We start from the raw sequence: 26702 nt of genomic DNA, 5'->3' as shown, positions 1-26702 counted from the left end.
ACTGCACTCCAGCCTGGGGAACAGAGGGAGACTCCGTCTCAAAATAAATAAATAAAAATAAAAATTAATAACAATAATAATAAACAGTCCTCCTGTGAACATTAGATCTGTGGGCATATTTATGCTACATAACTGCGAGTGTGTTTCCTTTTACATATCTCTCCCCATTTTTCCCAGCCCCAGGAAGCACCACTCTACTCTCTGTTTCTAGATAGGATTTGACTGTTGGATTCCACGTATAAGTGAGCTCATCAGTATCTTTCTCTCTGTCTCGCTTATTTAACTTGGCATCATGTCCTCCAGGTTCACACATGTAGCCAATGACAGGAATTCCTTCTGTATCTTGCTGTTATGAATAATGTTGCAATGAACTGAGAGGAGCTCCAGAAGAAACAATTTCATTTCCTGTAGATATATAACCAGCAGAGGGATCGCTGAGTCATGTGGTAGTTCCAGTTTTGTTTTTTTTGAGGAAACTCCATACTGTTTGCCATAATGGCTGTACCTCCAACGATGGGCAAAGGCTTCTATTTCCCCACACCCTCACCAACACTTGTCTTTTGGATAATAGCCATGCTAATACTGTGAGGTGATATTTCATTGTGGTTTTGTTTTGCATTTCCTTGACGGTTATTGACGATGAGCACCTTTTCATTACCTCTTGGCCGTTTTTATGTCTATTTGGAAAAATTCAGGCCCTTTGCTCGTTTTTTAATTGGGAAAAGCCAAATTTTAAAACTAATATTTGTCATTACTATGTGGAATGCACTGTTTTTTTTAAAAAAAATTCTGTCTTTTTATTTTATTTTATTATTATTTTTTTGAGACAGGGTCTCACTGTATTGCCCAGGCTGGAGTGCTGTGGTACGATCACAGCTAACTGCAGCCTCAACCTCCTGTGCTCAGGCAATTCTCCCAGTTCAGCGTCCCAAATGGCTGGACCAGGTGTGTGCCAGTAGCCTGGCTTTCCCCCCAACCCCCCAGCTTTCCCCCCCCCCCCACTTCTTGTAGAGGTGGGTCTCATTATGTTGCCCAGGCTGGTCTCAGATTCCTGGGCTCAAGAGATCCTCCTGCCTCGGCCTCCCAAAGTGCTGGGATTACAGGCATGAGCCACTGCACCCACTGTCGTCGTCTTCTTTTTAATGCTAGACGCAAAGCACTAAATACGTTTCACAATCCACTAATGGGTCTCAGCTCACAGTTTGAAAAAATCTGCCATATAAATTAAATATAGACAGATAGATGGTTAGAAAGATATACAAACACTCTACTGTTGTCTGAATGTTGGTGTCTCCCCAAAATCATAGTTTGAAACTTAGTCCCCAATGTGATCGTATTAAGAGGAGGGGCCATTAGGAAGTCTTATAGCATGAGGCTCCACCCCCATGAAGGAAATCAGTGCCCAAGGCAGCCTGTTTGTCCCTCCTGCCATGGGGAGACACAGCAAGAAGGCACCATCTATGAAGCAGAGTCCTCAGACGCAGAATGTGGGGTGCCTTGATCTTGGACTTCCCAGATTCCAGAGCTGTGAGAGATATATTTCTGTTGTCCAAAAATTACCCAGGCCAAGGCATTTTGTTATAGCAACCCAAATAGACTAAGGCACCCACACCCAGACACAAATGTGTGTGTGTATATATATGTGAACAAGGTCACAGTTCGTATATATGTATGAACTATCATAGTTCATACATATATTTGAACTGCAACAGTATAGAATGTATTTTTAATCATAAAATGTCCCAATTTTACCATTTTGAAAGCTTACAAATTTTGTCAATTAAAAAAGATATAACCTTTTGTTTTTACCTGTCAGGTTAGCAAAGATTTAAAATTGGTAATATCAATATTTGTGACCTCTGTAAGTCTGCTCTGAAGTCTCAGATTCTTTTTTTTTTTTTTTTTTTTTTGAGACAGAGTCTTGCTCTTGTTGCCCGGGTTGGAGTGCAATGGCGTGATCTTGGCTCACTGCAGCTTCCACCTCTCCACCTCCTGGGTTCAAGCGATTCTCCTGTCTCAGCATCCCGAGTAGCTGGGATTATAGGTGCGCTACCATGCCCGGCTAATTTTTGTGTTTTTAGTAGAGATGGGGTTTCACCACGTTGATCAGGCTGATCTTGGACTCCTGACCTCAGATGATCCGCCCGCCTTGGCCTCCCAAAGTGCTGGGATTACAGGCGTGAGCCACCGCGCCCAGCCTGAAGTCTGAGATTCTGCTTCGAATGAACCCTTCCAATGTCTGGACTAGGAGGAGGAGCAAGAATGCCCATGTGAATCTCACACCAACCTCAGTGTTGCTGGTAACTGGGGGGTGCTGTCCCACATCTGCTGGGCCTCTTTCAAATGTTCTGACCGGCCCACATGGGTAGGGAAGAAGTGCTCCTGACTGCACCTCTGCCCATCTCAACACCGCTGCCTGGCATCTGGTCTGTTTCCACAGTCAGCCCAGGGTGGGTGCTCCTCTGTGCTGAGGTCGGTGCGTCTGCTGGGTGGCCCTGCTCCATGAGCCACTTCTTCCCCTGGTGTCCACTGGAGAACCAGTGATGCCACAGGAAAATCTGTCTTATCAGGATCATTTCAGCATCTTTAACATGATTCCTAATGAAGGATTTTCAAGGATTTTAAAAGTACCTTTTTATAGAAAATTTCAAACTCAACAAGCCAGGGAGACTCATATAATCAATCAGTCTCCTTCAGCTATCGCCCAGCGTCAGTGAGTGCCCACCCCAGGGCCAATCTTATGTGATTAGACTCCCCTCCATCCCTTTGAAGCAAATTCCAGACGTCATTTTGTCAGTAACCCTTAAAAAGTGGAATTTTTGTACAAGATTATGATCTCATTATCACTCTACAAAGATTAATAATTTTCAAGAGTAATTTTCACTATAAAAGATTTTCAGGCTGGGCATGGTGGCTCACACCTGTAATCCCAGCACTTTGGGAGGCCAAGGTGGGTGGATTGCTTCCGCTCAGGAATTCAAGACCAGCCTGGGCCACATAGCAAGACCCCATTCTTAAAAAATAAATACAAAAATTAGCCAGGCATGGTGGCTATAGTCCCAGCTACTCGGAGGCTAAGGTGGGAACATCCCTTGAGCCTGGGAGGCAGAGATTGCAGTAAGCAGAGATTGCACCACTCCACACCAGCCTGGGGGACAGAGACAGACCCTGTCTCAAAAAAAAAAAAAAGAATTCCCAACCATAGGTGCTGACCTAGAACCTAATGCCTGTACACTCCGACTCCAGTGAACAGCACTGTTTACTTGGCCTACTTCCTCTTGTAGACAGCAAACTCCTAAAGGGTGAGGAGCTGTCTACCTCACTTTTGTACCAACTGCAGGCCCTCAAATATGTGTTGGATTAAACAGATGATTACGGAAAGGCAGTGGAAAGAGTAGGTCAAAATCCTACAGCCACTACACACCTATCAGAGCAGCTAAAATAAATACTGACAACATCAAATGCTAGCAAGGAGGTGAGGAAACTGGACCTCTCATATGTCACTGTGGGAAAGTAAAATGGTGCAACCAGTCTGGAAAATAGTTTGGCAGTAACTTTAATAAAAAAAACTTTTAGCTGGGCATGGTGGCTGGTGCCTGTAGTCCCAGCTACTCAGGGGGCTGAGGTGGGAGGATTGTTTGAGCGCCCAGGAGGTTGAGGCTGCAGTAAGATGTGACTGTGCCCCTGCACTCCAGCCTGGGAAGAGAATGAGACCCTGCCTCAAAGAAAATGTAATTAATTTAACTTATAAACTAAACATACACTTACCACAGCACCCAGCAATTGCATCCCTGTGCATTTACCTCCGACTAATGAAAACTGATGTCTATACAGCATTTTACACAGATGTCCACAGCAGCTTTATTTGGAATAGCCCAAATCTGGAAACACCAAAATGCCCTTCAAAGGATGATATTAAACAAACCTCAGCAGGTGCATGCCATGGACACTACTCAGCAATTTTTACAAACAGCAAACTACTGATGCCCACAGAAAGCCCTCAAGGGCATCCTCCTGACTGGAAAAGCCAGTCTCAGAAGGTCACATACGTACTGTATGACTCCATTCACGTGAGAAGGACGGGGAGGAAGAGGAGGAGGGTGGCTTCGAAGGGAGGCCATTGTGGTGATGGAGCAATTTTGTAGCTTGACTGTGACCATGACATGAAAACACACATGTGATAAAATGGCACAGCACTACCTTGGGAGGTCTCAGGTGTGTCTATGACCTTGATGGTGGTGATGGTATCACAGATGTTTGCATCAGTTATACCTCAATAAAACTGTTTTCTAGAATGACCTAGAACTATGAACACATGTTGTACCAATGTCAAGGCCCTGGTTTGGATATTGTGCTATCATTCCATAAGATATAACCATAGGTGGAAAACTGGATGAAGGGTCCATCTCTGTACTAGTCTCACAACTTCCTGTGAATTTCTATCTATCTCAAAATAAAGAATTTTTAAAAATAGCTTCTTGTTGTTGTTGTTGTTTAGAGACCAGATCTCACTCTGTCACTCAGCCTGGAGTGTAGTGGTATGATCATAGCTCACTGTAGCCTTGAACTCCTGGACTCGAGTAATCCTCCCACCTCAGCCTCCTGAGTAGCTGGGACTACAAGGGCTCAAAATAAGAATTTTAAAATGCAGCCTAAAACAACAATAATAACAGAAACATTAAATGCCAAATATAATTATACATATGTATGGGCCAGGCACAGTGGCTCACGCCTATAATCCCAGCACTTTGGGAGGCCAAGGTGGGTGGATCACAAGGTCAGGAGATCGAGACCATCCTGGCTAACACAGTGAAACCCCGTCTCTACTAAAAATACAAAAAAATAGCCGGGCGTAGTGGCGGGCGCCTGTAGTCCCAGCTACTCGGGAGACTGAGGCAAGAGAATGGCGTGAACCCGGGAGGTGGAGCTTGCAGTGAGCCGAGATCACGCCACTGCACGCCAGCCTGGGGGACAGAGCGAAACTCCGTCTCAAAAAAAAAAAAAGTTATACATATGTATGTAACAGGATATTGTGATGGTTACTTTTTTTTTCTGAGATAGGGTCTGGCTCTGCCACCTAGTCTGGACCGTGCAGTGGTGTGACCTGATCTCACTGCACCCTCTGCCTCCTGGGCCCAAGCCATCCTCCCACCTCAGCCTCCTGATTAGCTGGGACTACAGGCACATGCCACCATGCCAGGCTAATTTTTGTATTTTTTGTGGAAATGGGGTTTTGCCATGTTACCCAGGCTGATTGCCTGCCTCAGCCTCTCAAAGTGCTGGAATTACAGGCATGAGCCATCACATCCAGCTGTGATGGTTAATTTTTGTGTCAACTTGAGGGCCCCAAGGGATCCCAGATAGCTGGTAAAACATGATTCTGTGTGCTGCCTTCACCAACGTGAACAGGCAACCTCCAACTCATTCAGAGCCTGAATAGAACAAAAAGGTGTTTAGGAGGGGCAAGATTATATGGAGGAAAAAAAAATGTGGAGGGAGGGAACCTGAGGGAACCTTCTCCCTCTTTGTTCTTGAGCTGGGACGTTCATCTTCTGTCTGCGGGCATCAGAGCTCCGGGCTATTGCTTCAGACTCTGGGACTTCACTGGTTCTTCACCCCGTCCCATGCCACCAGCTCTCCTGAGCCTCAGGATTGCAGATGGCAGATGGTAGGAGTTCCCGGCCGCCACAACCGCCTAAGCCAATTCCTCATTATAAATCTCTCTCAAATGCAGATATAGGTATAGCTATAGATACATACATCATATTGGTTCTGTTTCTCTGGAGACCCTAATACATATATATACATATATATATATATATAGAGAGAGAGAGAGAGACAGAGAGAGAGAGAGAGACAGAGAGAGAGAGAGAGAGAGAGAGACAGAGAGAGAGAGAGAGAGAGAGACAGAGAGAGAGAGAGAGAGAGAGACAGAGAAAACATACATCTCCCCTATGGCTCAAATTTTCCGGTGTTTGAAAAAGCCCCGAATGTCTCATTGCACTCTATTAGGAAACATATATACTCCTCCTATCTCTCCTTCCTTCCTTCTATCCCTTTGCTCCAAAGGAATCTAATAGAAAATAGCAATATATTTTTAACTTATTGTTTATGGATGCTTGTAAGAGCTTCCCAGTGTATCTGAAGATTCTACCTGAAAACCACACATTGTCTCAGAAGTTCTTTTGCAAACTGCAGGAGAGAAAAGGAAGAGCTGCTTTCACCAAGAAAGTCATTTATCCAGTTTCTTCTGTCTTACACACCATCTTGTCTTAGTTACCTCACAATTCAAACATATGATAAAAATGGGCTATATTTTTATTTTAAAAATTCATTATTTAGAATAGTAATACATGCTAATTATTTTAAAAATCAATTCCAATGTACACAAATAAATGAAAAAAATCCTATCTGCTCTGCCTCCTCATCATATCTTTGAGATTATTGATCTATCAGCTCTCTCTCTCTCTTAGTTTCTTATCACTCCTGTAACAAATTACCAAAAGCTTAGAGGCTTAAAACAACACAAATGCATTGCCCTACAGCTCTGGAGGTCAGAAGTCCTCACGGGTCTCCCTGGGCTGAAACCAAGGCATCACAGGGCGGGGTCCTTCTGCAGACGCGGGAGGAGGCTCTGTTCTTGCCCTGTCCAGCATTCCCTGGCTCATGACCCATTCCAGCAATCACTTCATGCCAACCACCGCTCTGTCCTCAATTCCCTTCCCTGACTGACTCTCCTGCCTCCCCATCGTAGGCACCCTGGGATGACATGGGGTCCACCACGTAACCCAGGATCATCTCACCTGGCAAAATCCTTGACTTCATGACATCCGCAAGGTCCCTTTTGCTGTGTAAGATAACATCCGGCCGGGCGCGGTGACTCACGCCTGTAATCTCAGCACTTTGGGAGGCTGAGGCAGGTGGATCATGAGGTCAGGAGTTCGAGACCAGCCTGACCAATGTGGTGAAACCCCATCTCTACTAAAAATACAAAAAAAATGAGTCTGGCATGGTGGCGTGTTCCTGTAATCCCAGCTACTCAGGTGGGCTGAGGCAGGAGAATTGCTTCAACCCAGGAGGCAGAGGTTGCAGTGAGCTGAGATTGCACCACTGCATTCCAGCCTGGACGACACAGCAAGACTCTGTCACAAAAAAAAAAAAAAAAAAAAAGGATGACATTCACACGTTCACAGGATTAGGACATGGACATATTTAGGGAGCCATGATTCTGTGTGCCATACTATCCATCTACAATTTTTTTGTTTTTAAACAAGATCATTTTCCTCATCTCCCCCAAAACTTTCTTTCGTTGGGAACCAAAATATATCACAAGTCTTCCATAACGGCATTTAGAGATGTAGCACATTCATTTTAACATTAACTAACTCATTTTGCTGCATTAACTGGATGCTTAGAATCTTATTGTCTGAACGCTCCAGAATTTATTATTTTACCATTTCCCTATTGTTTCACACCCAGGCGGATGTCTCTTTTTTTTTCTTCCTATTTCAATTTATGCTGCAAGAACATTCTTGCACACAGGTGGGAGCTCTTTCTGCAGGATGGACACTCGAAAGGGCATAGCTCCATCGCTGCAGGGAAGGGCACTCACCATCACCCAGCATCAGGCGCGTGCACGTCAAGCCATGCTGAGCCAGCTCCTCACACCTGTTAGCACGGCTGCTATCCAAAAGACAGGAGGTAACAGGGGTTGGTGAGGATGAGGAGAAAAGCAAACCTTGTACACTGTGGGAAAGTGAATTGGTACAGCCAGTACGGAAAACGGCATGGCGGTTCCTCAGAAAATTATTATTATTATTATTAATTAATTAATTAATTAATTAATTTTTTTGAGATGGGGTCTCGCTCTGTCGCCCAGGCTGGAGTCCAGTGGCGCAATCTCGGCTCACTGCAAGCTCCACCTCCCAGGTTCACACCATCCTCCTGCCTCAGCCTCCCAAGTAGCTAGGACTATAGGTGCCTGCCACCACGCCCGGCTAATTTTTTTTTGTATTTTCAGTAGAGACGGGGTTTCACTCTGTTAGCCAGGATGGTCTCGATCTGCTGACCTCATGATCCGCCCGCCTCAGCCTCCCAAAGTGCTGGGATTACAGGCGTGAGCCACCGCGCCCGGCCCAGAAAATTAAAAGTAGAACTACCCTATGATCCAGCAATCTCACTCCAGGCTATATACCCAAAGGAAATGAAACCACGGTACGGCTGAGTTGAAGGGTATACATGCCTAAATTTCAATAGGTTCTGTTCATTGCTACCCCAAAGGACACACCACCTCTCCTTCAGGTATCATCCTGGGACCACCAGTGAGCAATGTAGATTTGGACCCCAGAGGCTCTGAAGTGGGTGCAAGGAAAACATTCATTAAGTGAACACCATGGCCACGGTACACCTGAGGCTGAACAGTCACTCCTTCCTCCATTTACTATACCAAACTGTGTCCAGCTACCCTGTCCAATAGAGCTCATCAGAAGTTATCAATGAGATTAAGTGGTCACATTAAGTTTCTCTGATAATTGGCTGGGCACAGTGACTCACCTCTGTAATCCCAGCACCTTGGGAGGCCGAGGCAGGCATATCACTTGAGGCCAGGAGTTTGAGACCAGCCTGGGCAACATGATGACATCCCTACTAAAAACACAAAGATTAGCCAGGTGTGGTGGTGGGCACCTGTAATCCCAGCTACTCAGGAGGCTGAGGCAGGAGAATCACTTGAACCCAGGAGGTGGAGGTTACAGTGAGCCAAGATCATGCCACTGCACTCCAGCCTGGACGACAGAGTGAGACTCTGTCTAAAAAAAAAAAAAAAAAAAAAAAAAATTCTCTGAAAATAAAATACAAAAAGACATTCCAATAAACACAATTGTAAAGAAATACAAAGAAAAGTTTTCCAGAAAAGTGGGGATGGTAGTTACTGAGCAGGAAAGACCACCGCGAGAGCGTCTCAGTTATTGCCGACGGAGTGTCTCAAGCTGGGTGGTCTTCCTTGAGATGTGTGCTTCGATCTTACTCTTCAAAATTTAAATATCTGTTTAATACACTTTCTGTAGGCATAATAACTTTAATAATAATTTTTTAGAAAAATAAACCTCATTAATAAAATGCCCACAATAAGATGTTCTGCATTTGAATATATTCTCTTCTTCATTATATTCCAGGGGAAGTTCAAGCATTAAAAAAATTGAATTGTTTTACAAGATGAAAGTCTCATTAAAGTCCAAAATAATTAAAATGGACAGAAATGAAGGGAGAATGGACAATTCAAAGTAGTAACTAGAGACTTCGCTACCTTAATTTTTTTTTTTTTTTTGAGTCTTGCTCTGTTGCCAGGCTAGAGTGCAGTGGCACCATCTCAGCTCATTGCAACCTCCGCCTCCCAGGTTCAAGCGATTCTCCTGTCTCAGCCTCCTGAGTAGCTGGGATTACAGGCGCCTGCCACCATGCCCAGCTAGTTTTTGTATTTTTAGTAGAGACGGGGTATTTCCATGTTGGCAGGATAGTCTCGATCTCTTGACATTGTGATCTGCCCACCTCGGCCTCCCAAAGTGCTGGGATTATAGGCATAAGCCACCACGCCCACTCCACTACCTCAATTTTAATAATGCATAGAAACCAGACAGAAGAAAGAAAGAAAGAAAGAAAGAAAGAAAGAAAGAAAGAAAGAAAGAAGAGAACATTTAAATAACAATACAATCCAACTAGACATAACACCTGTGGACACTCTGCCAGCACCAACAGAACACACATGCTTCTCCAGGGCGCACGGAGGATTCTCCAGGATGGACCACGTGCGAGGCCGTAAAGCAAGCTTCAGCACATCTGCAAAGGAGCAGGTAATTCAGAGCACGTGCTCCAAGCACGAGGGAGTGACATTAGAAATTGATGACAAGAGTCGGGCACAGCACTCACACCTATAATCCCAGCACTTTGGAAGGCCGACTTGGGAGGATCACTTGAGGCCAGGAGCTCGATGCCCGTCTGGGCTACATAGCAAGACCTCATCTCTATTAAAAAAAGTAATAAATTAGTTGGTGTAGGGGCACATGCCTGTAGTCCCAGCTACTTGGGAGGCTGAGATGGGAGGATCACTTGAGCCCAGGAGGTCAAGACTGCAGTGAGCCATGATCACGCCAGTGCACTCCAGCCTGGGCGACAGAGTAAGACTTTGTGGAGACAATTTGGGAAACTCACAAATATGTGGAAATTATACAACACACTCCTAAATAGCCAATGAGTCTAAGAAAAACAGAAACCAGAAAATACTTTGAGATGAATAAGAATCAAGACACAGTGTACCAGAGACCACAGCAGGGACCATGGCATTTAACAGGAGGGTAGATATGATTTTCCACTCACCAAAATGCAAACCCTCTGTACAGCTTAGCCAGAATCCATGCCAAAAATTCTCAGTTGCTAGTCAGGCGCAGTGGCTCACGCCTGTAATCCCAGCCCTTTGGGGGGCTGAGGTGGGTGGCTCATTTGAGGTCAGGAGTTCAAGACCTGCCTGGCCAACATGGTGAGACCCTGTCTCTACTAAAAATATGAAAATCAGCCAGATGTGGTAGCACATGCCTGTAGTCCCAGCTACTTGGGAGGCTGAGGCACAAGAATTGCTTGAGCCTGGGAGGCAGAGGTTGCAGTGAGCTGAGATCACGCCATTGTACTCCAGCCTGCAACTGTGGCCTGTGCGTCCTCTCCTGCACTCCAGAAGGTGGTATTCAAGACACAGGGGCAAGCTCAATCAGGCCTTGCTTCAGGTGCTTTTCCGGCCGATCCCAAGTTTTTGAAACCCTCCTTTCCTTTACCTGATGAGTCCCATGTCTCTGGCACTCAGAGCTCTGCCTGTGTGACCTCTCTGCCTAGGACACCAGCTCCAGTGGCTTCAGGACAGTTTCAAGTCAGTGCTGGGACATGCCTTGTCCTGCCTCACCCTGTAGAACCGCATCTGTCCGTGGATGGCGACTCCGGATGGTTCTCTCCTCACCTCACAGTGACTCCTGCCCCAGAGCCTCTGCGGGGTTTCCCGTGGGGTCACCGGGAGCCTCCCCCTGCCCACACCCCCCACCAGGCTCTCTGCCCTGACCTGACTTGTTCTGCACCTTGAGTTGAACTTCCCCAGGAGAGGTCGGGCCACGCGTCAGCAGCTGTCCCGAGGGGCCTCGGTGTGCAGCTGAGATGCCCCTCAGACTCCCCCGAGCCCGGCCCTTGCCTGCTCTGAGGTCCACGGCCCACACCCTTGCTCAGGCCTTGCCGCATAAGTCCCAGGGCACTGCAGACACAGGCAGCCTCTGCACCTGGGCCCCTCCCCTGTGAGCTGCAGTCACCCAATAAGGCCAACATGTTGTGTGGCCTCAACGTCCATCCTCGCCTCAAGCTGCGGCTGTGAACAGCCAGGTGCACTGCTGGGGATGCTCCTGCGGGGCTGGCTGTGAGACACAGGCCTCCCTGGGGCCGGCGCTCAGCTCTGAGGCCTGGGGCGGTGGCCAAAGCCCTGCCAGGGGCTCCTTCTCCAGGCATGAAATTATTCCCCAGAGGTCTGTGTCCCAGGCTCCCAGTTCTCAGCAATGAACCGATAATGCAAGTGTGGAGGGAGGGAGGGGCTGAGTCACAGGAGGAGTTTGGCAGAACAAGGGCCTGGAGGGGCAGGGGTGAGAGTGAAAGCAGGTGAAGGCCCCGCTTGGAACAGAAGAAAGACAGCGTGTCTGGGACAAGACGAGAAGGGCCAGAGCCCGACTGCCCGGAGGCACGGGGACCCAGAGGCTTCCTCCTTCCTCGGGAGGAAGGCAGGCAGCACCCCTCGTGAGTCTAGGCATTTCCATTTTCTTCTTTTTCTCATAAAGCTCTTGAAGGTTGAGGATTGTGGGGTTTTTTGCTAAAAACGGAACAGTGTCCACTATCCATCGGCCAACATGGCTGTGACTTCACAGCTACCCGGGCAGATCGCCGAGCTGTTCTTCCGTGAAACCTTGTTTACACTGTCAATTGCAGACTGAGCAATATTCAGATATTCATGCATGCCTTCAACTTCCTAACGCTTAAGACGTTTCCTAGTAGTAAAGCGTTGTTGAGACTTGGGTTCCAGCCCTTCCCTGACCCTTCCTAACTGCATGACTTTGGTGAGTCACTTAACGTCATCAACTTCATCTGCCACGTGGGCAGGATGCCCCACGAGGTGGAAGGCATAGGCCTGGCCGGGCTCCATTCTTGAGGGCTACATTTTAGTGATACAAACGCTGAATGAGCCCGGTCATTTCAGACCAGCGTTACTGACACTCAGCATCTGTACTCAAAGGGCATTTTGCTAAGTTCACAGGTTGAAAGAACTGCGATGATAAACAGTATGAAAACACCAAGTACTGATAACATGCTGCGGTTAACATTCTACTCTTCTCCGCATTATCATCACCATCATTTTAATCATTTAAAAAGGTTAGACAATTAAGCGTGTGTTTGGCAGCCCTTCAATGTGTGGGAAGTAGGAGGCCAAATTGCAAGTGCTCCTTGTCGCCTTGGACAGCTCGAAGCTGCCAGGACAGTCAAGGAGAGTTCCTCCTCGCCAAGCGCGGAGCACCCTGTGTTTTGGGAAGATACACTTACACTTCTGCTCAAGGTCATCTACGAATAATCAAGTGTCGGAACATATAAACACAGCAGTGGAAAATCAAAGCTCCTCTTTACTGAGGATTCATATTTTGTCAGGTATGACACGACATGCCATATAGACTTTTTTTTTTTTTTTTTTTTGAGATGGAGTCTCGCTCTGTCACCCAGGCTGGAGTGCAGTGGCATGATCTCCGCTCACTGCAACCTCCGCCTCCCAGGTTCAAGCGATTCTCCTGCCTCAGCCTCCCGAGTAGCTGAGATTACAGGCGCCCACCACAATGCCCAGCTAATTTTCATATTTTTAGTAGAGATGGGGGTCTCACTGTGTTGCCCAGGCTGGTCTCGAACTGCTGACCTCAAGTGATCCACCCACTTCAGCCTCCCAAAGTGCTGGGATTACAGGTGTGAGCCACTGTGCGCGGCCCCATACGGACTTTTAAACTTATGTGCGTAGAGCAGTCCTATGAGGGAAACGTTATTACCCACATTTTACAAACGTGGAAACCAAAGCTTAGAAAGAAGCACCAGGCCTGGTGTCTCCCCCAAGATGCACCACTTTGTAACCTATGGTGGCCAGGGTTTAATTTCTAGCAACACAGATGAGGCTTTGCCTCAAAGATACCCACAAAACTTATTTTGTTTACTCTGGGGAAAAAAATGCTGTAAAACAAGCTGATGTAAAGACAGTATTGCAAAGAGCACTTCACTTAAGCACTTTCTGATAGTTAAACACCTGAGCAGTGCAGGCTGCCAAAGAGTGAAGACATTTCATTTAAAATTACACTGGCGCAAGACCATCAAAGTATCCTTAACATTTTCATTAAATTGAGATACAGATCTAGTTAGAGTAGTAAATCTCTTCCGATACAAGTTCATTGAAGAGCCATGGCTAGAGGCAGCAGCGGGCCTGAAATAATCACCAGCTGCAAGGAATCCAGAAGCACCCAAGGCCTGGCGCAGAGCTCTCCATGTGCTGTTGTGAGATCTATGCAGGTGGTGCCTCCCTGTGCCCTCACCATGGTGCACACTGGAGCAGCAAGTGTCCAGGGGGCAGCAGGGAGGGGGCGGCGGGGAGGACCAGGCCAGGCATCTGTTTGTCTGTCTTCAACAGGCTTGCTTATGGTTCAGCATGGTGAGGGCAACAGATCCAGGATGGCTGCCATTGAAAAGATGGCTTGTTACTCACAGATCCTGAGAGGAGGGCAGGTCGCACCACAGGGGCCACACAGGGATGCGCCAGGGTTGGTCGGGATGCTGGGGGGTGGGGGAACCGAGCAGGAGCCTCTATTGTGGTTTCCACAATAAGGGAGGCCAAGGCAGGGTCAGCAGGCCCAGGACTGCCCAGCTTGAATAATTACAGCCCTCTGGGGCCAGGGGCTGCCCCGCGTCTGGTCCCTACCCAGGGTTGACAAGTGTGGGTGAACAGTGGCCTGGGGTGTGAGCCCACAGAGGAGGTGGCAGGTGTGGGCTCTGCATTGCAGGGTTTGCACATGGAAAGCCTGCGTGGGGTGGGCAAGTGTTCGCTATCCAGGAACTGGCTGTTTGTGGGAGAGGCAGCCTCCCAGGGTCAACAGGCCCCAGGTGTCAGAGCATCAGATACAGAAAATAAACAACATAGTTACTACAGCATCAAAGGACCAAGGTTCAAATCTCAGGTACTGCCTGTATGAGCAAGTCAGGCCACCTCTGAGGTCTGTCTGCTCGTGTGTAACTCAGAGATGATCACACCAACCATTTGATTAGACAATTTGTTTTTCTAAATGTAGCTTAGTACTTGGCACATTATAGTTATTGTTAAATATTAGCCAATTAAATCTTATGGCATTTAAAATACTAGTTACAATCTCTTATCCAACATAGTTTGGACTAGAAGTTTCAGATTTTTATTTTTTCGGATTTTGGAATATTTGTAATAATGAGATATCTTGAGGGTGGGACCCAAATCTAAACACAAAATTCATTTATGTTTCATATACACCTTACACACATAGCTGAAGATAACTCGATGCAATACATAAACATAATTTTGTGCAGAACACAAAGTTTGCATTTTGACTGTGACCCATCACGTGAGGGCATGCATGAGATTCTCCCCTTGTGGCATCACGTTGGTGCTCAAAACGTTCTGAATTTTGGAGCTTTTCAGATTTGGGATTTTTGGATTAGGGATGCTCAGCCTGTATATGCACAGCTTCTCTGGCACTCTCTTCAAACGATGGAGCCTGGGCTGGGCGCAGTGGCTCATGCCTGTAATCCCAGCACTTTGAGTGGCCGAGGTGGGTGGATCACCTGAGGTCAGGAGTTCAAGACCAGCCTGGCCGACATGGTGAAACCCTGTCTCTACTAAAAATACAAAAATTAGCCAGGCTTGGTGTCAGGCACCTGTAATCCCAGCTACTTAGGAGGCTGAGGCAGGAGAATCACTCGAACCTAGGAGGTGGAGGGTGCAGTGAGCCAAGATCATGGCACTGCACTCCAGCCTGGGCGACACAGTGAGACTCAGTCTCAAAAACAAAGAAACAAAAGATGGATCCTGAAGCCAGGTGCCATGGCTTATACCTGTAGACTCAGCTACGTGGGCTGAGATGGGAGGCATCCAAAAGTCCAAGATCGGCCTGGACAACATGGCCAGACCCCATCTCAAAAAAAAAAAAAAAAAAAAAAAAAGATGGCGCCTATGCCCCTCCCCTGGAGCACAGGTTGGATTTAGCTGCTCTTTTCTGCTGAGTAGAAGAAACCTGGACTCCGCAGTGTGGGCCTCGGAGACACATTCACGCGAGGCACTCAGCTTCCTGTGTGCTCCCTCTCTTGGGTCATGCACCCTGGAGAACGCAAACACCACACAGGGAGCATACTCAGGCAGTGCACAGAGGGCCCCACGCGGCACAGAGCCGAGGCCTCCAGCTCCAACCCCCACAACGGGGCCATCCTGAGGTGGGCCCACCTGCCTCCGTTGAGCCTTTGGCAAATGCAGCCACAGCCGGCCTCTTGACTGCAGCCTCGCCAGAGGCCCTGAGAGAGAAGCACCCAGCGAAGCCATCCCCAAGCCCCTGGCCCGCGGCAGCCCCTGGCCCGCAGCAGCTGGGCACCAAATGTGTTTTGCTTTTGGGCCACCAAGTGCTGGGTAGTTGGTTGTGCAGCAGGGCCAGCGGGTCTAACCTCAGGAAAATCTCCAAGCTGGGCTCTGCCAGTACCATTTGCAGTGCTTAGGCCTGCATAGACAATCTCTAGAGAAGTTTCCAGAACCACTTTCTAGTCAGTTCCAGAGATTTCCAGACAGAGGTGCAGGGGAGTTAGAATCCTGCCCATCTGTGCTGTGCTCACCTGGATTGAAATGGCCGGTGGCTAAGAAGCTGGTGGAGGTGGCCACAGAGCCCTCTCGACCGCTGGGTCTGGGCGAGACGCACTTTTGCCTCCACACCTTACCCTGTGTCCCGCTGAACTATCTTGGAAGCCACATCGGGTGCTCAATGACACACATTTAAAGAACTGTTTAGTTATGAAAATCTCTTTTATGTCACCATGGCTTTAGTCCTAGTCGGTAGACACCTTCACTAGGAAGGCCGGCACGGTCATTGTGAACATGCAGCTTCCTCAAACTGCCGTTACAGAAACAAGGACCATGGATTTTACTTTCAAATTATCACCAGATCTCAACCGTTTTTCACATAAAGATCTTCCATTTCACTTAAAGCCTCAACCGTTTGTTATTAAAATGTACCTTCCTCTTCCTCTCCCTTGCCTTGCCTGTGATGCTTTTCCTCCCGAGAACCGCTGTGTGTGGATGCAGGAGCTCACGCTTCTTGACAGGAGCATGAAATTGTCAGGGCAGGCTACGTCATGCTCAGGTACAAACAACCCCTAGGTTTACCTGGTGCTAATGCAAGGTCTGCTGGGAGTCTGGACGGCTCTCTAGGACAGTGTCCGCCGCGGCCACTCGGCAGGTCAGCCTGCCCAGCTCTCGTGCCTCCATCTCTACAGTGGGGACAAGAACACGATGGTCTCAGGGTGATGAGAAGTGGCACACGGCCCTCCCACACAGGCCCGTTGGCAATCTTATCCCACGGTCCCTAGAACCACCCAACTGCCAGGACATGAAGACGTGGGATCATCTAGGGGCCCAGAAGAACAGGAGAAACAGACAGGAGGAGAAGGCAAAGACCCCACTCCAGGGCTGCCCGCACTCAGCAGACACACGTGGGCTGTGCGCCAGGAGCTGGAGACACAGCAACAGAGACAAGGCCCCTCTCCGTGTGATGCTTATGGCCAAGTGGCCGTCCACTGCTCCTTCTAACCTCCCAGCAACTGGTCCTGTTGATCAGACGGGCTGATCAACAAAGCTAAAATCTTACCCAATGGAGCAGTCACCACAGAAACTTCCCAGCTGGTATGAAGGGACCCTATCCGACTTCTCCCAACCCAGTGCCTCACGTATTAATAGAAAAGCAAGGGAAGGGATTGATTTAAATTTATGATGAAATATTTTGGACATACAAAATGACTAAAAGGATAAAATACCAAGTTCCAAGGACCCATTGCCCAATTTACAAATAAAACATGACCTTCTTTGATGCATCAGCCGCCTTCCCTGGAGAGCAGCCTCAACCCCAGTTCTGTTCCTCATTGTCAGGCATTAGAAGCAAGAGGGAAGTAGTTACCTCCTGGACTTAAATGATCAGTTGTATCAATTTGGTTTTGAAGTTTAAAATACTAAATTAAAATAATCATTCACATTTGTATAGAGCTTTACAGCTTACAAAATAATTTTACTTATATTTTCTCATTAATCCCTGTAATAATCCATCAAGCAGGTATTATCAAACCTGTGTTATAGTAAGAAAAGTAATATATATTTTTCATTTTAAAATTTTATTTTGTAGAGATGGATCTGCCTGTATTGCCCAGGCTGGTCTCCAACTCCTGAGCTCAAGTGATCCTCCCACCTCGGCCTCCCAAAGTGCTGAGATTACAGGTGTGAGCCACCATGCTTGGCCAAGCAATATTTAATCCCAGCACTTTGGGAGGCCAGGGCAGGTGGATTGCTTGAGCCCAGGAGTTCAAAACAAGCCTGGGCAACATGATGAGACCCTGTCTCTACAAAAAATATAAAAATTAGCTGAGTGTGGTGGTGCACACCTGTGGTCCCAGTTACTCAGACGGCTGAGGCTGGAGGATTGCTTGAGCCCAGGAGGTAAGGCTAGAGTGAGCTGAGACCATGCCATGACACTCCTAGGCGATAGAGTAAGACTCTGTCTAAAAAAAAAAGACAGTCTATTTCCCTCCATTTGAAGCTGCTTCTGTGGACTCAGGGGAAGATGCAGGTCATTTCCAAGGTCATCCCAAGGTCAGGTCACAGGAGCAATATGGCTTCCACCTGGTTTGTGCGAGCACTCACCTTCTTGCTTTCTTTCTCTCCCTTCCTCTGTCCCTTGGAACCCAGTCGTGTGCAGTGAGGCAGCCCCAGCTGCAGGCACAGATTACTGCAGGTGTTTCAGCGAAGGTCCAGGACACCTGGCCTGTGGAGTGGATGGGCTCTAGGTGATCCCAGCCCTTTACTTTTCCGGAGCTCCAGCTGAAGCTGACAAAGCAGAGATAAGCTGGGCCTGACAAGCCCTGCCCAGATTACAGATTCATGGCAAAATAAACACTGTTGGATGGGTGCGGTGGCTCACACCTGTAATCCCAGCACTTTGGGAGGCTGAGGCAGGCAGATCACTTCAGCCCAGGAGTTTGAGACCAGCCTGGCCAACATGGCGAAACCCCGTCTCTACTAAAAATACAAAGATTAGCTGGTCCCAGCTACTTGGGAGGCTGAGGCACAAGAATCACTTGAGCCTGGGAGGCGGAGGTTGCAGTGAGCCGAGATTGCGCCACAGCACTCTGGCCTGGGTGACAGAGTGAGACCTCGCCTAAAATAAATAAATAAATAAATATAAATTAAAAATATTGTTGTAATTGTTCTATAGCATGAAATTGTGGGGCTATCTCTTATAGCAGAAAGACTTAAACTAAAAGGGGACTTATAAACTCACACTAGATTGTCCAAGAAATGAGTGGGCTTCAGGATGGGTATGATGACTCAGCTGCCCAGACAGGTAAGTATGTGCTTTCCTGTGCTACTGCCCTGCTTCCCTCTAGCACTGGTCTTCTACACATCTGCAAAACAGCAGCAGAAGCAGTTCCAGCTTTTATGGACATATACCAGAAAGGGAGAAAGTGGCAGCCCTCAGTAGCTCTTCAAAGAACAACTCCAGAAGAGAAGCTATCTTTTAGAGCGAGCCCCACACACCTCTACTGGCATGTCTGCCCTCCCATTGGGTCATGTGCCCATTTGGAGCCAATCCCATTGACTAGGGAAATGCCATGTGCTGATTGGCTAGAACTTAACCAATCAGTGGCAGAGAGGAAGAATTGAAGAAATCAGGGTGATTCTGGCAGTTGAGGATGGCTCAATCCCTTCTGCAGCTAGATGATTAGGAAGGGAGAGAAGGGATCTGGGGGGACACAATTGTACTATCCAGTAGATTACATGTAAAGGTAATATTTCTCATGTACCCTCCGCATTATTTTGAGTACAATTTTCCTTAAACGTGTAAATGTAAACTCATTATAAGCTTCTGATGCTTCATGTCATCGTGCAAACATAGAAGTAAAATAATTCACAAATTAAAAATAAACAAAACTGCCAAACCATTAACATTCAAACTAACAATACTGATGTGACACCGCGTGCTAGCTTGGCTGATGCAAGTAACCCTTGCACAGTGACTGTGTGCTCCCCACCCAGGGGCAGCTTCTCTGGAGTTAAGTGCTCAGAGGCTCACCTGCACCTCTGTGCCTTTGATGGTCGTTTCTGCCTCCTGTTTCAGTCTTTTCCTTAATTTTTAAATGGCTAAGTGCAGTCTTTCTTGGGAGACCCGAAGGGCCTAAAGTGCTGATTCCTCCATGAAGCTGTCCTTAATCAACCTAGCCCAAATGTTGGAGCTGGATAAGACCTTGAGAAAATTTGAGTCCAACATGAAAATGAGGCCTAATGAGGTTGAATGGACATCCAAGTGATTCTCCATTAAAAGCAAAAGATGATGTTTGCTTACAGTTTACAAACCAAGGCCAGGCACGGCGGCTCACGCCTGTAATCCCGGCACTTTGGGAGACAAGGTGGGAGGATCACTTGAGGCTAGGAGTGGGAGACCAGCCTGGGCAACACAGTGAGACCCCCGTCTTTAAAAAAAAAAAAGAAAGAAAAATTAGTTTACAAACCAGTGCATGCATTAGCTCATTGAGCCCTCCAGAAATCCCTGAGAGACAGGAAAAGTGAGGAAGTATCATCTTGGATGTCCTACAGATAATGAAACCAAAGCCAGCCCAGAAGGGTTGAGTGACTCACACAAGCTGTCATAGCTGGTGAAGTGACAAGGCCAGGGCTTGTGGCAGGTCTGCTGACCGACAGTCATTGATTATGCCCTGCTGCTTCTCTGAGTGTATCCTAGCTCAGAAATCCTTCGCTTGGGGTTCGATGACTATGAGTGGGAGGGGAGACATCACTGCTGGAAAATCAACTACAGTTGTGTGGTTGTTGTTTAAAATACTCATGCCGGCTGAGTGCAGTGGCTCACGCCTGTAATCCCAGCACTTTGGGAGGCCAAAGCGGGTGGATCACCTGAGGTCAGGGGTTCGAGACCAGCCTGGCCAACATGGTGAAACCCCGTCTCTATTAAAATTACCAAAAAATTAGCCAGGCGTGGTGGCAGGCACCTATAATCCAACCTACTTGGGAGACTGAGGCAGGAGACTGGCTTGAACCCAGGAGGTGGAGGTTTTAGTGAGCCGAGATCATGCCATTGCACTCCAGCCTGGGCAACAAGAGCGAAACTCAGTCTCAAAAAAAAATAAAAAATAAAATAAAATAAAATACTCATACCCACATTCCTTTGGAAATCATTGTTTTAGTTTCTCCTGGTGGGACCTCAAAGAAAGCTGGGAAATTCATTGTGCAGTGGCTCACTCTGTTCATCACTGCTGACAATCCACAATATAGAAGACTCTCACAGTCTTGGCGAGGATGGACTAGAGGGCGCGATCCACATAGTAAATTGTATAAAACCTGGGTCCCAGAAAGCCAAGCACTGTGTATAACCTGCAGAGATGTGAGACTCCACAATGCATAGCCATTGAATCAAAGCGAAGTACTAAGGAGTAGCTGCTGATTGAAGTGGGGCTGTACTTAGAATACTGTAGCATTCATGCATTGGTTCTTTGTGGCTTCTTTGCATTTGGTGTGTTCATTACCCACTGAACAGAAGATAGTTACCTGACTGCAGTTTTACCTTCCTATCAGATTCACCATTTTTTAACAAGAATGAGCTAAACCTAATTTTTTTTTTTTAGATGGAGTCTCGCTTTGTCACCCAGGCTGGAGTTCAGTAGCACGATCTCAGATCACTGCAACCTCTGCCTCCCCAGTTCAAGTGATTCCCCTGCCTCAGTCTCCTGAGAAGCTGGGACTACATGCAGTCACCACCACCCAGCTGATTTTTGTATTTTTAGTAGAGATGAGGTTTTGCCATGTTGACCAGGCTAGTCTCAAACTCCTGGGCTCAAGTGATCCACCCGACTCGGCCTCCCAAAGTGTAAACCTAAAATTTCTTATTCATGACTTTTTTATTGTGGTAAAATGTACATAACATAATATCAATCATTCAACCTTTTTGGGGTTTTTTTTTTTGTTTTTTTGTTTTTTTGTTTTTTTGAGACAGGGTCTCTCTCTCTGTTCTCCAGGCTGGAATGCAGTGACACGATCATAGCTCACTACAGCCTTGACCTCTCATGCTCAAATGATCCTCCTGCCTCAGCCTCCTGAGTAGCTGGGACTACAGGGGCATGCCACCACACTTGGCTAATTTTTAAATTTTTTGTAGAGATAGGGTCTCACTATGTTGCCAAGGCTGGTCTCGAACTCCTGGGCTCAAGCAATCCTCCTGCCTTGGCCTCCCAAAGTGCTGGAATTACAGGTTGAGCCACCATAACTGTGAGCCACCATAACTGGCCTCATTTAGCCATTTTTAAATATACAGTTCAGTGACATTAAATACATTCACATTGTTTTGCAATGATTACCACCATCCATCTCCAAACTTTCTCATCTTTCCAAACTAAGACTCTGTCCCTATTAAACACTAACTCCCCATTCCCCTTTGCCCCAACCCCTGGAGCTTCTGTCTCTATGAATTTGACTGTGAAGGTACCTTATGAAAGTGGAATCACGCAGCATTTGTTCTTTTGTGTCTGGCTTATTTCACTCAGCATAATGTTTCTGAGGTTCAACGGTATTGTAACCTGTGTCATAATTTCTTTCCTTTTTAAGACTCAATCATATTCGATTGTATGAATAGACCACAATTTGTTCATCCATTTATCTGTTGATGGACACTTGGGTTGCTTTACCTTCTGGCGACTGTGACTAACACTGCTATACAAATATTGATATCGTACAGGGGAGGTGGTTCACACCTATAATTCTAATGACTTGTGAGGCTGAGGCGGGAGGTTGGTTTCAGGCCAGCAGTTCATGATCAACCTGGGCAACAAGTGAGATCCTATCTCTAAAAAATAAAAAATAAAAATTAGTCAGGTATGGTGGGGCATGCCTATAGTCCCGGCTATTCAAGAGGCTGAGGTAAGAGGATCCCTTGAGCCCAGGAGTTTGAGGCTGCAGTGAGCTGTGATTGTGCCACTGACCTCCAGCCTGGACGACAAGCAAGTCCCTATCTCTTAAAAAAAAAAAAAAGTATTGGTATACAAATATCTGATTGAGTCCCTGCTTTCAATTCTTTTGAACATATACCTAGGAGTTGAAGAAACCTACATTTTTAAGGCAAAACATCTTCTCTGCCATGGCAAAATCATAGCCACAAGAAAAGAAAATTCAGATATGGTATGGATGAGAAAACAAAGGTTGATTTAGTTTCTTCTCCACCCATGACAACTTTTCACAGGAAAATCACAAGACTGATGGCCAATGAGGTGCAGCATAAGACTCCACACACATGGGGGTTTTCCTCGTGAAACTGAAAATTCACAGTCTTTTTCAGATCATAAACCCTGATTTGGTAATTTTAAAAATTGCGGAATTATTATGCAATAGAGATTTAAACTTAAACATTTTTAATGACAAGCTAGTGATATCCTGAAGTCTGGGTTTTGCAGTCATTTCTACATGGAAAACAGAGAACAATAATAAACCAAATGCAGAGCCATGAATGCACATCCAATTGTCCAATGCCACACTAGAAAGCAAGCCCCCTTCATCCATCCGTGGCTCATTGTATTTGTCTGTTCTTACCCTGCTAAAAGGACATCCCTGAGACTGGGTAGTTTATGAAGGAAGGAGGTTTAATTGACTCACGGGTTAGCATGGCTGGAGAGGCCTTGGGAAACTTACCCATCATGGTAGAAGGGGAAGCAAACATGTCCTCCTTCACATGGCAGCAGGAGGGAGAAGAATGAGAGCCGAGTGAAGGGGGAAGCCCCTTATAACACCATCAGATCTTGTGAGAACTTACTCACTACCACAAAAACAACATGGGGGAAACCACCCCCATGATTCAACCACCTCCCACCAAGTCCCTCCTGCCACAGGTGGGGATTATGGGAACTACAATTCAAGATGAGATTTGGGTGGGGACACAGCCAAACTACATCCCTCATCTTTCAACTTTTTATTATATTTTTAGACACAGGATATCACTCTGTGACTCAGGCTGGAGTTCAGTAACATGATAACAGCTCACTGCAGCCTTTGACTCCTAGACTGAAGCAATCCTCCTGCCTCAGTCTCCCAAGTAGCTGGTACTACAAGTATGTACCACTATGCCCAGCTAATTTTAAATTTTTTTTGTAGAGACAGGGTCTCACTATGTTGCCCAGCTTCATCTCAAACTCCTGGCCTCAACTGATCCTCCTGCCTCATCATCTTTCAAATTAAATTTGCTAAGTAGGTTTTTGATTATATTTTTCCTGGGGAAATATGATTACTTTAAGATATTTTATGTATTTTTGAGGTGCAAAGACTGACATACGGATAGTAAATAGCTCAGTATTAAGTAGGATGAAGATTGATAGCCATGGATCTTGTCCAACCCCCTCATTTTACAGATTAGAAAATTTAATCTCAGCGAGGAGAGAAAATTACCCAGGTGGATGCAATTTCCAATTCTCTTTCTTTATATTAATATCATGATGCCTTGTTATTGTCCTAAAATTATTTCAGTCATGTTTCAAAGGGAGCCTTTTTCCTTACTTTTCAAGATTAGGAGATCATTGAGCAAAGCACGCCCATGTGGGGCCATGCTGGCCATCTGTTTGCCCCTGTCCTCCCCGTTTCTTCCTCCCTTATAGAATCTCTTTCTTCCTTTGCAGAACTTCCCTGCTGCTGCACAGGTTCTGGGCCAGCCCTGCCCCGGTCGATGAGCCACTCCTCGGGTAACACTGGGTAAAGCCTCTCTGTCGAAGGCACCCGGTCTGGATTCTGCTTCCCCGGGTCCCTCACCTCCATGACTGTTCTGAAGTGGTGGCTGTGGGTTACTGTTTTGTTCTGCCCAGTTAACATCATTTAAATTTTTTTTTTTTTAGACAAAGTCTCACTCTGTCACCCAGGCTGGAGTGCAGTGGTGCAATCTCAGCTCACTTCAGCCTCAACCTCCCAGGCTCAATTGATACTCCCACCTCAGCCTCCTGAGTAGCTGGGACTACAGGCATGTACCACCATACCTGCGTAATTTTTGTATTTTTTGTAGAGGCGGGGTTTCGCCATGTTGCCCAGGCTGGTCTCAAACTCCTGGGTTCAAGCAATCTGCCTGCCTCAGCCTCCCAAAGTACTGGGATTACAGGTATGAGCCACCACACCAGGCCATCATTTAATTTTTTTAAGCATCTTATTGCAGAAAATTCTAAACATCTACAGAAGTAGAGAGATGAGCTTAATAAATCCTCACATGCCAATCACTCAGCCCCAGCAGCCACCAGTGCATCCCTCACTTTGTCTCCTCCACAGCCACCTTCTCCCTGTACCTGCACCCTCTTCCCACCCAGCTTATTTTAAAGCCAGCCCCACACATTGCGCCATTTTGCCCATAAACATTTCAGGATGTATTGCTAAAAGATAAGGACTGGGTTTTTGGTAAACCATAACTACAGTTCCATTATCATACCCAAAGAAATTAAAAATACTTAACTCACCAAATATTGATAAGGACAGGAGGCAGGGACGTTCTGGGCAGAGGAGGGCAGGTCTCCAGTGAGGGCCCCACCCTCAAGCCTCAAAACCTCGTACTGTGGCCCAAAGTGAGAACATACATCTGTGTTTTCCAGCTCCAATGTCGCCTTTTCCAAAACCACCCATGGCCCGCCTCACCAGTGGTCCTGTGCCCATTAAAAACCCCTGGTTAAGCTGGCAGGGAGAGGAGAAGCAGCTGGATGTTGGAGAGAAGTGGCTTGAGTTCAGGGGAACAACTTGATGGCATAGCTTCAGAGAGATTACCTTCCCACTTCGTCCCCTTTTCAGCTCCCCTTACCACTGAGAGCCACTTTCATCAGCAACAAAATGTCCTGCATTTACCACCTTCAAGTCATTCATGCAACCTCATTCCTCCTGGGCGCCAGACAAGAACTCAAGTGCTACAAGTGTGGGTGCAAAAGGCTGTCACACTGACCCTCTGCTGAGCTGTTAACACTTAAGCCATGGATGGCAAAGCTAAAAGGGCACTGTAACACTTCCTCTGGGGCTTCAGGGGTTGCAGGCATCCTCCTTTAGACACTGCCGGGAGGGCTGGTATGGAGTTCGCTCTTGCCGCACCCAAAGCACCCACCCCGACTCCTGCACATGTGCACCTGTGCTCCCACGAGGGGTGGAGCAGGAAGTGAGTGGAGTTGGCCCCTGCTGGTGCCCACGCACTTCAGTTCCCGCGGGCAAAGAGGTCAGGGAAACATCCTGCTTCAACATCTGTCCTTCCGTCAGCCTGGTTCCCAAACTGGAATCTCTCCAGTTCCACTGTTATAAATTAAAACTCTAAACCCGTAAATGGATGGGAAAGAGTGACTGCCTAACTGTAGGGGCTAGGAACTGGGGGTCTAAGTAGTCCTTACCCGTTAACCAGTCCTGCGTGGCCCCAACCGTGCCCTGGGTCAGCACCTGTGGTTGTTCCCTTGTCCTTATTGGATGTAAACCAAACAGCGACTAATAAAGTCCTTAAAATGACCTATCGAAAAACAAAACAAAAAGTGACAGGCAGATCCCAATCGGCTGAGAGATTTATTTTGCTGAGGTTGAGCATGTGCCCGGGAAAAAGAAACTCAAGGCACAATAGAATCTGTGTCCTGTGCTTTTACCAAAGAGGGTTTTAAGGACTTCAGTGTTTCAAGAGAAAGGAGAAAAGGGAAACAAAGAGGGTAGGCAAACAGGTGAGAGGCCACATTCTCATGAGGCTCTGATTAGCACTCAGAGAATCTACATTTCACCTGTGTAAAGAATGGAGCCGGCCGGGCATGGTGGCTCATGCCTGTAATCCCAACACTTTGGGAGGCTGAGATGGGCACATCACTTGAGGCCAGGAGTTTGAGACCAGCCTGGCCAATATGCCGAAACCCCATCTCTACTAAAAATACCAAAAAAATTAGCCAGGCATGGTGGCATGCGCCGGTAATCCCAGCTACTCGGGAGGCTGAGGCAGGAGGCTCGTTTGAACCCAGGAGGCGGAGGTTGCAATGAGCCAAGATCGCCCCACTGCACTCCAGCCTAGATGACAGAGTGAGACTCCATCTCAAAAAAAAAAAAAAAAAAAGAACAGAGTTAGGGGAAAGCCAGTCATGCATCTGTCTCACGCTCAGTAGGTCTACATTTGACATGCGATAACGCAGGCATGGGGATCACAGCTGTCTGGAAACAGAAGGCAGGCAGGCATTGCATGACTCAGTTCCCTTTGGCATGGTGAGTTTGGTCTCGAGATTTTCCTTTCCTTTCACACAGGTCATGTGGAGGGATCCACTGGCTGCTCCAGACTGTCCGCTCTGTGGGGTCATGTTTGCGT

General features: G+C 47.0%; 1 long non-coding RNA gene across 4 annotated transcripts, besides 1 other annotated feature; it reads right to left on the bottom strand.

The window, feature by feature from the left end:
• Positions 11278 to 11828: an enhancer, noted in NCBI's record as "H3K27ac-H3K4me1 hESC enhancer chr7:156917852-156918402 (GRCh37/hg19 assembly coordinates)". NCBI's record gives its function as "activates a minimal SCP1, AML or CMV promoter by ChIP-STARR-seq in naive H9 embryonic stem cells {active_cell/tissue: H9 hESC(naive)}" and the evidence as "EXISTENCE:reporter gene assay evidence [ECO:0000049][PMID:30033119]".
• LOC105375607 (uncharacterized) lies at positions 12977 to 25821 on the bottom strand. 4 transcript variants are annotated; one of them, XR_928261.2, is made up of 5 exons: positions 25762 to 25821; positions 18651 to 18774; positions 18014 to 18134; positions 16490 to 16593; positions 12977 to 13774 (listed from the first exon to the last, which is right to left on the bottom strand). It is a non-coding gene; the product is annotated as an uncharacterized LOC105375607 (long non-coding RNA). The 4 variants fall into 4 exon arrangements; XR_928260.1 differs by lacking the exon at positions 18651 to 18774 and having other exon boundaries at positions 25762 to 25820; XR_928259.1 differs by lacking the exon at positions 18651 to 18774 and having other exon boundaries at positions 18014 to 18196; positions 25762 to 25806.
• Positions 25822 to 26702: the final 881 nt, after the last annotated feature.

The sequence above is a fragment of the Homo sapiens genome, chromosome 7, assembly GCF_000001405.40.
Source record: "Homo sapiens chromosome 7, GRCh38.p14 Primary Assembly".
Lineage (NCBI taxonomy): Eukaryota > Metazoa > Chordata > Mammalia > Primates > Hominidae > Homo > Homo sapiens.
The sequence above is the reverse complement of the archived record's forward strand: the minus strand, read 5'-3'. Positions and strand labels throughout refer to the sequence as shown.